Here is a 15518-nt window from a genome sequence, read left to right as displayed (position 1 = left end):
TCCTAGGTGATGCTGATGCTGCTGGTCTATGAACAACATTTTGACAACCACTCATCTATGACACTGATTTCCAAATTTAAGCACTAAACCTGTTTACATCGGAATAATTCAACAGCTGAGAAAAAATAAATTTCTTGTTTCCAGACCTAGAAGAAACTGATTCAGCATGTCTTCAGTGGATTGCAGAATGCTATTATTTCCTAAACCATTGTTTTCCTGATTCTGATAATCAGTGAAGTTTAAGTGTTTTCCGTTTTGTTCTTTTCAGTCATCTGGTTTATAGACTTCCTATATAGAGGCAGATAAAATCAATGTATCTTCTAATATCTTTTTCCAATTATATAGGGAGAAATAAAGTACAATGAAAATCAGGTAGAATATAAACTTGATCATTTTAAAACCTGTAGGGAAACTTTATTATAAAATTTGCTTCTGGAATCACATGAAAGCAAAAGATGCTGTGGGTGAGTTTCCACACAGATAGAAACTAAATGAAGAGCTTTATATCATTGATCATATTAATTAAAAAACAATTGGTAGTTTATTTGCTTTTCAAATAAAAGGAAGACAAAGACAGATACTGTGATGGTAGATTTAAAGATGTCGCATAGAGAATGCCAGAGACACTTCAGAAAGATTACAATATTCTGATGATAATAGAAAACCAGAATAGTGAAACCCTCTTATAAATTGCTTCCCTATACTATGGATTTAGTGGATCAAGGTATTTCCCATGCATACAGAGGTATAATTCATCTTTCTCACACTCATATGTAGAATCTTCTACAAAGAATAAAGTAAAGCAATCATAAGCCTTTGTGATAGATGAAATTTCTTTAAATCATTTTTAAAGACCTTGTTAGGTTTTCTATTTAAGCTTATTTTAAAGCAGGATTCTTTTAAAATGAAAGACTTTTGATGACTTCTAAGAAGGCAGTTTTCAAAGAGTAGCTAGTTTTTAAGGTAATTTTTACTGCTAATAAATGTGCTATTATATTTAAATTTTAAGAACCATTTAGAAAAAGAATTAATTAATGATATGAGGAGAAAAAAACATGTTTATCACTTTTAAAAAGTGGGAAATGGCTCCCCTCAGATTAGGGGCACAGTCATAAATGACTTGTGCTTGATGTTTAAAAAATAATACTTTTTGTTGCTTTGTTTTCCCTTTCTCTATCATTTTCTCTCTCTCTCTTACCCACCATAACACACACACACACACACACACACACACACGATTTAATTACAATGCTAGAAAGATAAACTAAGACCATCCATTGAATTACCTCAGGTAGTCCAAACTGATTTAATAATCAAACAAGTCTAATAATCAATTCTAGCTATGAAATCATTATTAAAATAAATTGGGGCTGATAATAGTAAGGAATTCAGGCTCTATCTGGGTAGTACACCTTAAAAGAGTGATCTATAAAAAATATTTACCTTTTGGTTTAATTTTTAAGCCCATTTATCTTAATAAGTCTTATATTTGCATTAAACATAGCTATACCGTTTAAAAATAATCTCATGAAATAAATCGCAACCATTATATAAGTAGAACAGTACAATTATACTCAATTATTTACTTGTAAGTGTTTAACAATCAGTTTCTGGAAAAGAAGTATATATGTGTATATATATATATAATTTTACTAACATAAAAGATATGTAGCACACAATGCAAAGTAATAAAGAAAAAACTTTACTGTAAATTCATATTGCCAATTGATTATTACAGAATATTTTTGAAATTTTTGTTGAACTCTTGTTGCCATATCCTACTTATTATAATTGACAAATGAGTGTACTTTTGCCATGAATGTTGGTTGACATTTTTGTTTAGGTTAATGAATGAGACAACAATGAAACAATAAAGGTGCATGTTGGAACTTCACTCATTCATCAATGACACGAACTGTTTTATCGCAGAATTGGATAATGGTTTATTTAAAGGGGAAAAGCTTTCCTTTTGCCCTCTAAAGGTTTACTGAATGTTAACTGATAGCAGCCAGATTAACAGAAGAAAAAGGTATGCACATTTATTTAATATGCATAAGCATAGGATAATTTCAGAAAAATGATTACCCAATAACCCAATGATGCCCACATGCTTATACACAATGCTACATAGGGGTAAGGGAGATGGGGAAAAGGATAATTGTTTGAGCCTGGCAGGCGGAGGTTGCAGTGAGCCGAGATCGCACCAGGGCACTCCAACCTGGGTGACAGAGCAGCGAGACTCTGTCAAAAACAAACAAACAAACAAACCCTAAATTGGTAGCTGTGCAGACAATAGAGTTAATAGCCGAGTGCGAAGTATCCAATTAAGCCAGTCTCTCATTCCTAGGTATAGGTCAGTCCAATTAAAACAGTGTGCTCATTTTAGAAGATGGCATTGCAGATCGTCTCTGAAAGCTAGGCCACTATATGGTCTAGGCAAACAGGTTTTAGTAAGAGGCATTTCTATGGAAATGAAAATAAAACAAAGAGTAATATTTGGAGTAGTTTATTAAGTGGTTTCTGTGTCCAGTAGTAGAGAAAATGTCTAGATTTCGCATTTGAGGTTCATTTTCAATTCGAGCAGAAGCAGGCAGTGTCTATCTGAAAGATTCTTTTAGTTTGCAGTTTACATGTTATTAAGTTTGTCCAAATGTAAGCTGTTGTGGTGATTTTTCTTCAAATCCAAATTGTGTTGCTTTGGCTTGTAGGGCCTCAAGATAAAGGCAGTTTTAATTTCCAGTGATTCCAAAAAAGAAGAATAGGCAAATAGGGCTGGGCGTGGTGGCTCATGTCTGTAATCCCAGCACTTTGGGAGGCCGAGGTGGGCAGATCACAAGGTCAGGAGTTTGAGACCAGCTTGGCCAATATGGTGAAACCCTGTCTCTACTAAAAATATAAAAATTAGCTGGGCTTGGTGGTGGGCGCCTGTAGTCCCAGCTACTCGGGAGGCTGAGGCAGGAGAAATTGCTCTTGAACCTGGGAGGCAGAGGTTGCAGTGAGCCTAGATAATGCCACTGCACTACAGCCTGGACGACAGAGTGAGACTCCATCTCAAAAAAAAAAAAAAAAAAGAAGAAGAAGAAGAGGCAAATAATTGAAAACCTTGGTTTAGATTCTCAAAGACAGTAAATAATTCAAGATTCAGTCCAAATTGCAGGTAAATAACAAACCTAAAAAAAAGATATAGAATCTAATAATGGATGCATTATAGGTTTTGTCTAAAACATTTTTTTCTCTAAATCCCCCATAGTTTAACCAAAGATGGTCACTGTCAGAATGGCGTGTTTGCTAAATGAGCTTCACTTTTGGACTGATTATGTAAGTGTAGCAAGATTGGTGATTGATAATATATGCTCTTTTTAAAGTTAGCTTTGTTGAGAGGTTTTCATAAGAAACCTCAGACTACACTTTTGGAAAAGCCATTTGAGGCTAATAAGCCAAAGCAAAAATGTAACATCACTGTGCCTATATTACGTATATCAGTTGGTTGAATACCTCTTTTCTTGAGGTCCCCAAATAACTTAAAATCCTGGGCATGTCAAAACTGACATTCTTCACTTACTAAAAGGCCAGCCTGTCTAGACAAAATACCAGACCAGGTTTTCAAAGGTTTTAATTGGCTTCATAAATCCAACCTCAGTTTCTGAAAGCCAACTGGTCATATGTGAAATATAACATTCCAGTCAAAGCCTTGATAGTACCACCAGTGTCCCCAATTGTCCTGTTATAAAGAGAAGATATTTTTGAACTTATGAAAATTACTATATTGTCATAAAATAAGAATATTTATAAATAGTTTTCAAATTCTGAAAGAATTAGTTAGGATGAAAGTAAATAATTCAGTTCTACTCACAAAAGTATGCTTTTTCAATTTGCTACAAGCTATATATAGTTTAAAAAATGTTTCCCTCCATTTGAAAAGCAAATCATTTAAAAAATCAGCAATGTTTTCAATAAAACATTATTAAAATATAGTTTCTTTATCAATTGAATGTTATGTAATTAATTCTTATTCTGCTTAGTGTTGGGATAGAAATTTTATGGGTCCAGTTTTTGTTTCTTTTTTATTAGAATTCTGGAAATTTAGTCAAATCCTATAAATTCAAACATGTTAGAAACCTGTACTTATGAGAATATTAAAATTATTTTCCTACATACCTTCTAGAAAACACAATACTTTAAAATTTGTAACAAGTTTTAAGAGAAATGCATCAGAATAAAGCAATTTACTATGCACAAGACTTAAAATGGACATTCTTAAAAGCCTGATGAGAATTCATTATAACAATAATATAATCAACATGGAAATTTGGTTATTTTTATAGCACACAACAAATTTACATTAGAGTTATGACTGATAATGTATACCAAGTACATTAGTGAAGATTCTCCAAAGGGACAGAACCAATATGATATATGTATATATATAAAAGGGAGTTTATTTCGGAGAGTTGGCTAACATTATTACAAGGCAAAGACCTACAATAGACTGTCTACAAGCTGGGCAAAGAGAGAAGCAAGTCAGTAGCATGGCTCTGTCCAATTCTGAAAGCCTTAAAACCAGGGAAGCCGACAGTGCAGCCCTTGGTTTGATGCCAAAGGCCCAAGTGGAAGACCACTGACGAAAGTCTCAGAGTCCAGAGCCTAAGAACCTGGAGTCTGATGTTTAAGAGCAGGAGCAGAGGAAGCAAGTGTCTGGCCTGAAAAGAGACAGAGAGTGAGAGGACTCAGCAAGCTACTTAACCCCTTTTTTCCACCTGCTTTGTTTTAGCAATGCTGGCAACTGATTGGGTAGTGTCCATCCATATTGAGAGTGGTCTTTTTCTCTCATTCCACTGACTCAAACGTCAATCCCCTCTAAACACACCTTCAGACAAACCAAGAAACAATACTTTACCAGATATCTAGGCATCTCCTAATTCAGTCAAGTTGACACTCAATATTAGCCATTACGCAAAGACTTATCAGATTTCTAGGAATCTCATACATTTCAGATCAAATATTAATAACAAATTTATACAAATATGACTCAGAGTTAAACATCATTTCTTATTTGATAAGCTTTCCATATAATTTTAACATGTTAAGTAAGCCAATTAGTTTAATAAGTCTCTCTTTTCTTTCCACGGGCCCTTCTAGATTGTCCAAAAGTTAGCTTGTGGTCAAATAGACTAAATTTAGAATTTGGAATTTGATTTTAGGAAGACTGTCAAATATATCAAAGGTTTAAAACACTTGATCAAAAGAGGATCATAGGTCATTGCAAAATAATAGTCATCCATTTAAACAAAGTGATAATTATAAGTTTTTAAAAGCAAGTAAAGGAAGCTACATAGGAAAAGCAAAACCTTAATTCTTAATATTTAATTTTTGATAACATATCACTCTCTCTTTTTGCAGTTTAATCAAAATGTGAATATTTTACTATCTTTTATTAATACTATATAAAAAATTCAGTTTAAAAAGACCAAATTTTAGTTTTATATCAGTTGTATTAAGGCTCATTTTCTAAATTTTTATTTTATATATTTTTTTATGTTTGTTCTTATTTCAATAGGTCTTTGGGGAACAGTTAGTGTTTGGTTACATGAATAAGTTGTTTAGAGGTCATTTCTGAGATTTTGATACACACATCACCCAAGCAGTGTACGCTACACCAGTGTGTAGTCTTTTATCTCTAACCCTCTCCCACCCTTCACCCTGAATCCCCAAAGTCCATTGTATCATTCGTATGCCCTTCCATCCTCATACCTTAGCTTCAACTTACAAGTGAGAATCCACAATGTTTGGTTTTCCATTCGTGAGTTACTTCACTTAGAATAATGGTCTCCAACTCCACCCAGGTTGCTGTGAATGCCATTCTTTCAATGGCTGAGTAGTATTCCATGGCATTTATATACCACATTTTCTTTATCCGCTTGTTGATTGATGGACATTTAGGCTAGTTCCATGTTTTTGCAGTTGTGAATTGTGCTGCTATAAACATGCATGTGCAAGTGCCTTTTTCATATAATGACTTATTTCTCTCTTGGCAGATACCCATTAGTGGTATTGCTGGATCAAATGGTAGATCCACTTTTAGTTCTTTAAAGAATCTCCATAATGTTTTCCATAGTGATTGGGCTAGTTTACATTCCCATCAGCTGTGTAAAATTTTTCTCTTTTCACCACATCCAAACCAACATCTATTACTATTATTATTTTAATTATGGCCATTCTTGAAGGAGTAAGGTGGTATTGCATTGTGGTTTTGACTTGCATTTCCTTGATAATTAGTGATGTTGAGCATTTTTCCATATGCTTGTTGGCCATTTGTACATCTTCTTTTGATAATTCTCTCCTCATGTTTTAGCCCACTTTTTGATAGAATCATTTGTTTTGTTCTTGATTATTTGAGTTCCTTGTACATTCTGGATATTAGCCCTTTAATAGATACATAGTTTGCAAAGATTTTTTTCTTACTTTGTGGGCTGTCTGTTTACTCTGCTGATCATTTCTTTTGCTGTACAGAAGCTTTTTAATTTAATTAAGTCCCATCTATGTATCTATGTTTTTGTTGCATTTTGTTGCATTTGCTTTTGTGTTCTTGGTCATGAAATCTTTGCCTAATCTTTGCTAAGCCAAGAAGGGTGTTTCCAATTTTATCATCTTCTAGAATATTTATGGTTTCAGGTCTTAGGTTTAAATCTGTGATCCATCTTGAGTTGAGTTTTCAATAGGTGAGAGATGAGGATCCAGTTTTATTCTTCTACATGTGGCTTGACAATTATCCCAGCACCATTTGTTGAATAGGGTGTCCGTTCTTCACTTTATGTTTTTGTTCACTTTGTCAAAGTTCACTTGGCTGTAAGAATTTGGCTTTATATTTGGGTTCTCTGTTGTTTTGCATTAATCTATATGTGTATTTTTATACCAATACCATGCTGTTTTGGTGACTATAGCCTTAATAGTATAGTTTGAAGTCGGGAAATGTGATTCTTCCAGATTTCTTCTTTTTGCTTAGTCTCACTTTGGCTATGCAGGCTCTTTTTTGGTTCCATATGAATTTCAGCACTGTCTTTTCTAGTTCTGTGAAGAATCATAATGGTGTTTTGATGACCAATTCAATGAGGATTGGTGTTTTGATGGAGAATCACAATGGTGTTTTGATGACTAATTCAATGAGGATTGAATTCGTAGATTCCTTTTTGCAGTATGGTCATTTTCACAATGTTGATTCTACCAAGCCATGAGCATGGGCTATGTTTACACTTGATTTTGTCATCTGTGATTTCTTTCAGCAGTGTTTTGTAGTTTTCCTTGTAGAGGTCTTTCACCTCTTTGGTTAGGTATATTCCTAAGTATGTTATTTATTTATTTATGTTTTACAGTTATTATAAAAGGGGTTGAGTTCTTGATTTGATTCTCAGCTTGGTCACTGTTGGTATATAGCAGTGCTACTAATTCATGTACATTGATTTTGTACCTTCAAACTTTACTGAATTTATTAATCAGATCTAGAAGCTTTTTGGATGAGTCTTTAATGTTTTCTAGGTATACAATCATATCATCAGTGAACAGCAACAATTTTACTTCCTCTTTACTGATTTGGATGCCCTTTATTTATTTATTTATTTTTGTCTGATTGCTCTGGCTAGGATTTCCAGTACTATGTTGAAAAGAAGTGGTGAGAGTGCACGTACTTGTCTTGTTCCAGTTTTTGTGAGAAATGCTTTCAACATTGCCCCATTCAGTATGATGTTGGCTGTGGGTTTGTCATCCTTGGCTTTTATTGCCTTAAGGTATGTTCCTTCTATGCCGATTTTGCTAAGGATTTTAATCATAAAGTGATGCTAGTTTTTTGTCTCTTGCTTTTTCTGCATATATTGAGATGATCACATGATTTTTGTTTTTAAATCTGTTTATGTGGTGTATCACATTTATTGACTTATGTATGCTAAGCCACCCTTGCATTCCTGGTATAAAACCATTTATTTTTATTGGTTATTTTTTAATCCGCTCTTAGATTTGGTTAGCTAGAATTTTGTTGAGGATTTTTGCATCTATGTTCATCAGGGATATTGGTCTGTAGTTTTCTTTTTGTTATGTTATTTCCTGGTATAGGTATTTGGGTGATGCTGGCTTTATAAAATGATTTAGGGAGGATTTTCACTTGCTCTGTTTTTTGGAATAATTTCAATAGGATTGGTACCAATTATTCTTTGAATGTCTGATAAAATTCAGTTGTGAATATGTCTAGTCCTGGACATTTTTTGCTAATTTTTGTGTTACCATTTCAATCTCATTGTTTGCTATTGATCTGTTCTAAGTTTCTGTTTCTTCCTGGTTTAATCTACGAGGGTTGCATATTTTTAGAAAATTATCCATCTCCTCTAGGTTTTCTTGTTTGTGTGCATAAAGGTGTTCATAGTAGCCTTGAATGATCTTTTATGTTTCTGTGGTATCAATTGTTATATCTCCTGTTTTGTTTCCAATTGACTTTATTTGGATCTTCTCTCTTCTTTTTATAGTTAATCTCACTAAAGGTCTACCAAGTTTGTTTATCTTTTTGAAGAACCATCTTTTTGTTTTATTTACCTTTTGTATTTTTTTGTTTCAATTTCATTTAGTTCTGTTCTGATCTTTGTTATTTCTTTTCTTCTGTTGGGCTTGGGTTTGATTTGTTCCTTTTCTTCTAGTTCCTTGAGGTGTGACTATTGATTATCTATTTGAGCTCTTTTAGACTTTTTGATGGAGGCACTTAATGCTATGAACTTTCTTCTTAGCACCACTTTTGCTGTATCTGAGAGGTTTTAATAAGCTGTTTCACTATTGTAATTCAGTTCAAAGTTTTTTTTTAATTTTCATCTTGATTTCATTGTTGACCCAACAATCATTCAGGAACAGATCATTTAATCTGTGTCTATTTGCATGGTTTTGAGGGTTTCTTTTGGAGTTTATTTCTAATTTTATCCCACTGTGGTCTGAAAGAGTACTTGATAAAATTTCTGTTTTCTTAAATTTATCGAGACTTGTTTTGTGTCCTACCATAAAGTCTATCCTGGAGAATGTTTTATGTGCTGATGAACAGAATGTATATTCTGCAGTTGTTTAGTAGAATGTTGTATAAATATCTGTTAAGTCCACTTGTTCTAGGATATAGTTTAAGTCCACTGTTTCTTTATTGACTTTCTGTCTTGATGACCTATCTAGTGCTGTCAGAGGAATATTGTAGTCCCCCACTATTATTGTGTGACCATCTATGCCATTTCTTAGGTCTAGGAGTAATTGTTTTATAAATTTAGAAGCTCCAGTGTTAGGTGCATTTATATTTAGGATTGTGATATTTTCCTGTTGGACTAGTCCTTTTATCATTATATAATGTCTCTCTTTTTTTTTTTGACTGTTTTTGCTTTAATGTCTATTTTGTCTGATATAACAACAGCTTGTCCTGCTAGTTCTTGGTTTCATTTTGCATAAAATATCTTTTTCCACCCCTTTACCTTAAGTTTATGTGAGTCCTTATATGTTAGGTGAATCTCTTGAAGATAATAGATCCTTGGCTGTTGAAGTCTTATCCTTTCTGCCATTATGTATCCAATTGGAACATATAGTCCATTTACATTCAATGGTAGTATTGAGATGTGTGATATTATTCTATTCATCATACTAGTTGTTGCTTGAATGCTTTTTGTTTTTTTGTTTGTTTGTTTTTTCATTGTGTTATCCTTTTATAGGTCATGTGAGATTTATGCTTTAAGCGGGTTCATGTTGGTGTATACTGAAGATTTGTTTCAAAATTTAGAGCTCCTTTTAGCAGTTTTCATAGGCTGACTTGGTAGTGATGAATTCTCTCAGCATTTGTTTGTCTGAAAAAGACTATCTTTTCTTGATTTGTGAAGCTTAGTCTTGCTGGATACAAAATTCTTAGCCAATAATGGTTTTGATTAAGGAGGCTAAAAGTAGGACCCTAATCTCTTCTAGCTTGTAGGCTTTCTGCTGAGAAATCTGCTGTTTACCTGATAGGTTTTTCTTTATAGGTTACCTGATGTTTTTGCCTCACAGCTCTTCATATTCTTTCCTTCATCTCAATTTATATAATCTGATGACTGTGTGCCTAGGTGATGATCTTTTTGTGACGAATTTCCCAGCTGTTCTTTGAGCTTCCTCTATTTGGATGCCTAGATCTCTAGCAAGATCAGAGAAGTTTTCCTCAAATAATTTTCCAAAACTTTTAGATTTATCTTGTTTCCCGGGAACTCCAATTATTCTTAGGTTTGGTCATTTAATGTAATTCCAAAATGCTTAAAAACTTTGTTTATTTTTTTATTCTTTTTTTTTTCTCTTCATCAGATTGGGTTAATTTGAAAGCCTTGTCTTTGAGTTATGAAGTTCTTTTTTCTACTTGTTTGATTCAACTGTTGAAACTTTCCAGTGCATTTTGCTCTTCTCTAAGTGTGTCTTTCATTTCCAGAAGTTTTTATTGTTTTTTATTTGTGCTATCTATTTCTCTGGAGATTTTTTCTTCCAAATCCTGTTTTGTTTTCTTAATTTCTTTAAGCTGGTTTTTACCTTTCCCTGGTGCCTCCTTGAGTAGCTCAATAATTGACCTCCTAAATTATTTTTCTGACAGTTCAGAGATTTCTTCTTGGTTTGGATCCATTGCTGGTGAGCTAATGTGTAATTTTGGGGGTGTTGACAAATTTTGTTTTGTCATATTATCAGAATTGTTTTTCTATTTCTTTCTCTTTCAGGTAGACTATGTCAGAGGAAAGATCTGGGGCCCAAAGGCTGCTGGTAAGCTTCTTTTGTCCCATGGGGTGGGTGTGATCCTTTGATGTGGTGCACTCACCTTTCTCCTAAGGATGGGACTTCCTGAGAGCTGGACTGCAGTGATTGTTATTGCTCCTCTGGGTCTAGCCTCCCAGCAGAGCTACTGGGCTCTGGACTGGTACAGGGTAGTGTCTGCAAAAAGTCATATGGTATGATCTATCTTTTGGTCTCTCAGGTATACATACCACCACCTGATCCAGGAGAGGTAGCAGGAGAGTAAAGTGGACTCTGTGAGTGTCCTTGGATGTAGTTTTGTTTAGTGTGCTGGTTTTCCCCAGTGCTGGTTGTGCTAGCAGTGAAGTTGTCATGTGGACAGGCTCAAGACCTCTGGTTACAGAATGTTCCCTGCAGTGGAATTAGCTGTTGTCTTCTCCTTTCTTGAAGCAGGGTTGTTCTTCAATGAGTTGCTGTAATGGGTTGAGTTGGTTGGCCTTCAGCCAGGAGGTGAAACTTTCAAGAGAGCGTTAGCTGCAGTAGTATAGGAGGCATACAAGCTTGCTCTAAGGTTTCCTGGATAGATATTCGGGTTTCTCAGGTGATGGGTGGGGCCATAGACCTCCCAAGTGATTATGTCTTTTGTCTTTGGCTACCAGGGCTAGTAGAGAAAGAACATCAGCTGGGGTAGGGCAAGGCATGTCTGAGCCCTACTCTCCTTGGGTGGGGCTTGCTTTGTCTCAGTGTTTTGTCTTTATTATGGAGTTTGCAGTGGCAAGCCACTTCTTTCAGTGGGTCTGTGAATTCTTTCAGTTTTCCTGATACTTTCCTGCAGTAGTGCTTGGAACAAAAGTTCACGATGCTCCATATGCTGTTCTGTCCATCCGAGTGGGAGCTACAAGTTAGTCCTGCCTGCTATCTGTCATTGATGAATGCTCATTTTTAAAAATCCTTATAATAAATTTATTAATTTTAGTTAGTTTGATCACACATAAATTATTTTGTAAGTTTCTTATTTTATAAATCTTTATAATATTTGTACTCATTTTAGTTTATCTATATAATTTTTAATTAAAAAAATTTGAAACAACTTTTAAATACCAGGTAAACTAGACAAAATTACGTTTTCTTTAACAAAAACCACATCCTCATGCCTTTTTCTTACCTTTCTCCAAACAGACATATCTTACATTTTTGTAAATTTTGTATACTATCTTTTTTTTAGTTTTAGTTTTTAATTACATAATTACATAAAATAGTAATTAGAATGTTTAACTTTTAGTTATCTTAGTTATTATTTGGCAACACATTTTATCTTAATTAAAAATGATTTAGAATTAAGATAAATACCTATCATTTAATTTAATTTAGAAATACTTTAAGGGTATAGTTGTCAAAGAAACTTGAAAAGTCTTTTTAAGTAAAGAAATGTTAAATATGAATTCTAAATTTGTCTTCAAAGAATTAATATGTCAGTATGTTCAGTTCTTTGCCTTGTATTTTTAAACTTAACTTCCACATAAAGCAACCTTTTTCCATTATCTACTCTACCCTGACTCATTCCGATCACCTGCTCCACCCTGACTTATTCCGGTTACCTGCTACCTGCTCCACCCTGACTCATTTTTCTCCACCCTGCATAACCATTTTTTTTTTCCCACCAAGGCACTCACCCCATCATTCTCTAAATTAGCCAGTTGGAATCAGTTTAGCCTGTGCGGTCCAACCCTAGCCAATAGGGGAATGACACAGCAGCAGGTGCCACGTGCATCAGGGATAAGAACCCCTTTCCCTCCCTTGTCCAGGTGTGCACTCGCCATTGCTCCATCTGTGAGGGTGCACCCTTCTATAGAAGTACCTTGCCTTGCTGAGAATTAAAAATAAAATTTTATATTCGAGTGCTATTTCTTTTGCGGCACCGAAACTTTATATATAATGGTTTTTAGATGGCTCACTAGAAACAGTGGCGTTCAGAGACTCCCATCAAAACGAACCATAGTAAGCATGTGAATCCTTTACTAGCAACCAAGGTATCGAGGTTCTCTCATCAGAAATGACTAGGAGGCTGGCGTGATCCACGGAGAGCAAGGAAGAGCAATGTAGTGCTGTGGCCCACCTGAGAGCCACATGGGGCAAGAGAGCCCCCACCACCCCAGCCAAAGGAGGCAGTGAGTGAGCATGCCACCCAGCCAGGGAAACTGTGCTTTTTCCACAGAACTGTGCAACCCACAGATTAGAAGATCCCACTCGTGAACCCATGCCACAGGGAACTAACGTCCCAACCCCAGACCCCTGCAGATTCTCAACAGACTCTTAGCTGGAATCTGCTTAAGCCTAGCAGGCTCCTGGGGGGAGGGGTGACCAACACCACAGCTGCGGCTGCCTGCTGTCTAAGCCATTTGAGCTCCTCAGGGGACGGGAAGCACTCAGCACTGGGACTCACAACTGTCTAACATGCTAAGCTCCCCGGGCAACGGAAGGGTGGCATCCATCTCTATAGCTCCAGGCTGTGCTTTTCCCCTGCTGGAGCCAGGGAGGCTGGACCACTTGGTCAAAAGACCTGTCCCCCACAGCCCAACACACTGACTGTGGCAGACTGAAACCACAGTGCCTCTTCAGGCTTGACTCTGACTCATCCTTCCTCATTGGGAACTCCAATAACTCTAGCCAGAGGCTCAGAGAGAGAACCTGGATCTCCCTGGGCCTGAGGCTCCAGGGGAGGGGTGGCCACAGTCTCTGCCGACCAGCAGACATAGCCTTTTCTCCTGGTAGTTCTGAGGAATCCAGGCAGCCCAGACTAGTGGGTTTTTCCCCAGTGAAGCACACCCCCTCCACCAAGGGACAGACAAAGTGCTTCATTAAATGGGTCCTGTTCCCCGTGCCACCCAACTGGGTGGGACCCTCCAACAGGGATTGTTAGACATCCTACACAGGAGCCTACTGGCATCAGGTTGGTGCCCTTCGAGGTCAGATATCCCAGAAGAAGGAGCAGGCACCTATCTCTGCTGTTCTCCAGGCTCCTTAAGTGACATCTCCAGGCGTGGGAGTGAACCAGGTGAATAGGCTCTGAAGTGAACCCACAGAAAACTGTAGCAGCTCTACAGAAGAGGGATCTGAGCATTGAAAGAAAAACAAACAAACGGAAAGCAACAACAACAACATCAACAACAAAAGGCCCCAAAAAACCCTATCCAAGGGTCAGCAGCCGCAAAGATTGAAACTAGACAAACTCACAAAGATGAGAAAGAATCAACAACAATTTAAAATAAATGCCAAAAACCCAAAAGGCCAGAGTGCTTCTACTCCTCCAAATTATCACAACGTCTCTCCAGCAAGGGTGCAGAACTGGACGGATGATGAGATAGTTGAATTGACAGAAGGAGGCTTCAGAAGATGGGTAATAAAAAACTACACTGAGCTAAAGGAGCATGTTTTAACCCAAAGCAAATAAGCTAAGAACCTTGATAAAAAGTTAGAGGAGCTGCTAATTAGAATAGCCAATTTAGAGAGGAAAATAAATGACCTGATGGAGCTGAAAAATACAGCATAAGAACTTCATGAATCATATACAAGTATCAATAACTAAATTGACCAAACAGAAGAAAGGATATCAGTTTGAAGACCACTTTGCTGAAATAAGGCATGTAGATAAGACTAGAGAAAAAAGAATGAAAAGGAAGGAACAAAGCCTCCAAGAAATGTGGGACTTCATAAAAAGACTGAACTTGTGATTGATTGGAGTACCTGAAGGAGATGGGGAGAATGGAAGCAAGCTGGAAAACACACTTCAGGATATTATCCAGGAGAACTTCCGCAACCTAGTAAGGCAGGCCAACATGCAAATTCAGGAAATACAGAAAACACCACTAAGATACTCCATGAGACGATCAACCCCGAGACATAATCATCAGATATTCCAAGGTCAAAATGAAGGAAAAATTGTTAAGGACAGCCAGAGAGAAAGGCCAGGCCACCCACAAAGGAAAGTTCATCAGATTAATAGCAGAGCTCTCAGCAGAAGCTCTACAAGCCAGAAGAGACTGGGGGCCAATATTCAGCATTATTAAAGAAAAGAATTTTCAACCCAGAGTTTCATATTCAGCCAAATTGAGCTTCATAAACAATGGAGAAATAAAATCCTTTCCAGACAAGCAAATGCTGAGGGATTTCGTTACCATTAGGTCTGCCTTGCAAGAGATCCTGCAAGAAACACTAAATACGGAGAGGAAAAACCAGTACCAGCCACTGCAAAAACACACCAAAATATAAAGACAAATGACACTATGAAGAAACTGCATCAACTAGTGTGCAAAATAACCAGATAGCATCATGATGACAGGATCAAATTCACACATAACAATACTAACCTTAAATGTAAGTGGGCTAAATGCCCCAATTAAAATACACATACTGGAAAATTGGAGAAAGAGTCAATATCCATCGGTGTGTTGTATTCAGGAGATCTATCTCATATGGAAAGACACACATAGGCTCAAACAAAGGGATGGTGAAAAATTTACCAAGCAAACAAAAAGCAGAAAAAAAGCAGGGGTTGCAGTCTTAGTCTCTGACAAAACAGACTTTAAATCAACAAAGATAAAAAAAGACAAGAAGGACATTACATAATGGTAAAAGGAACAATCCAACAAGAAATGCTAACTATTCTGAATATATATGCACCCAATGCAGGAGCACCCAGATTCATAAAACAAGTTCTTAGAGACTACAAAGAGACTTAGACTCCTACACAATAATAGTGGGAGCCTTTAACA

General features: G+C 36.2%; 2 annotated features.

Moving 5' to 3' along the window:
- Window positions 12535-13101: an enhancer, noted in NCBI's record as "H3K27ac-H3K4me1 hESC enhancer chrX:88419006-88419572 (GRCh37/hg19 assembly coordinates)". NCBI's record gives its function as "activates a minimal SCP1, AML or CMV promoter by ChIP-STARR-seq in primed H9 embryonic stem cells {active_cell/tissue: H9 hESC(primed)}" and the evidence as "EXISTENCE:reporter gene assay evidence [ECO:0000049][PMID:30033119]".
- Window positions 13102-13669: an enhancer, noted in NCBI's record as "H3K27ac-H3K4me1 hESC enhancer chrX:88418438-88419005 (GRCh37/hg19 assembly coordinates)". NCBI's record gives its function as "activates a minimal SCP1, AML or CMV promoter by ChIP-STARR-seq in primed H9 embryonic stem cells {active_cell/tissue: H9 hESC(primed)}" and the evidence as "EXISTENCE:reporter gene assay evidence [ECO:0000049][PMID:30033119]".

The sequence above is a fragment of the Homo sapiens genome, chromosome X, assembly GCF_000001405.40.
Source record: "Homo sapiens chromosome X, GRCh38.p14 Primary Assembly".
Taxonomy (NCBI): domain Eukaryota; kingdom Metazoa; phylum Chordata; class Mammalia; order Primates; family Hominidae; genus Homo; species Homo sapiens.
The sequence above is the reverse complement of the archived record's forward strand: the minus strand, read 5'-3'. Positions and strand labels throughout refer to the sequence as shown.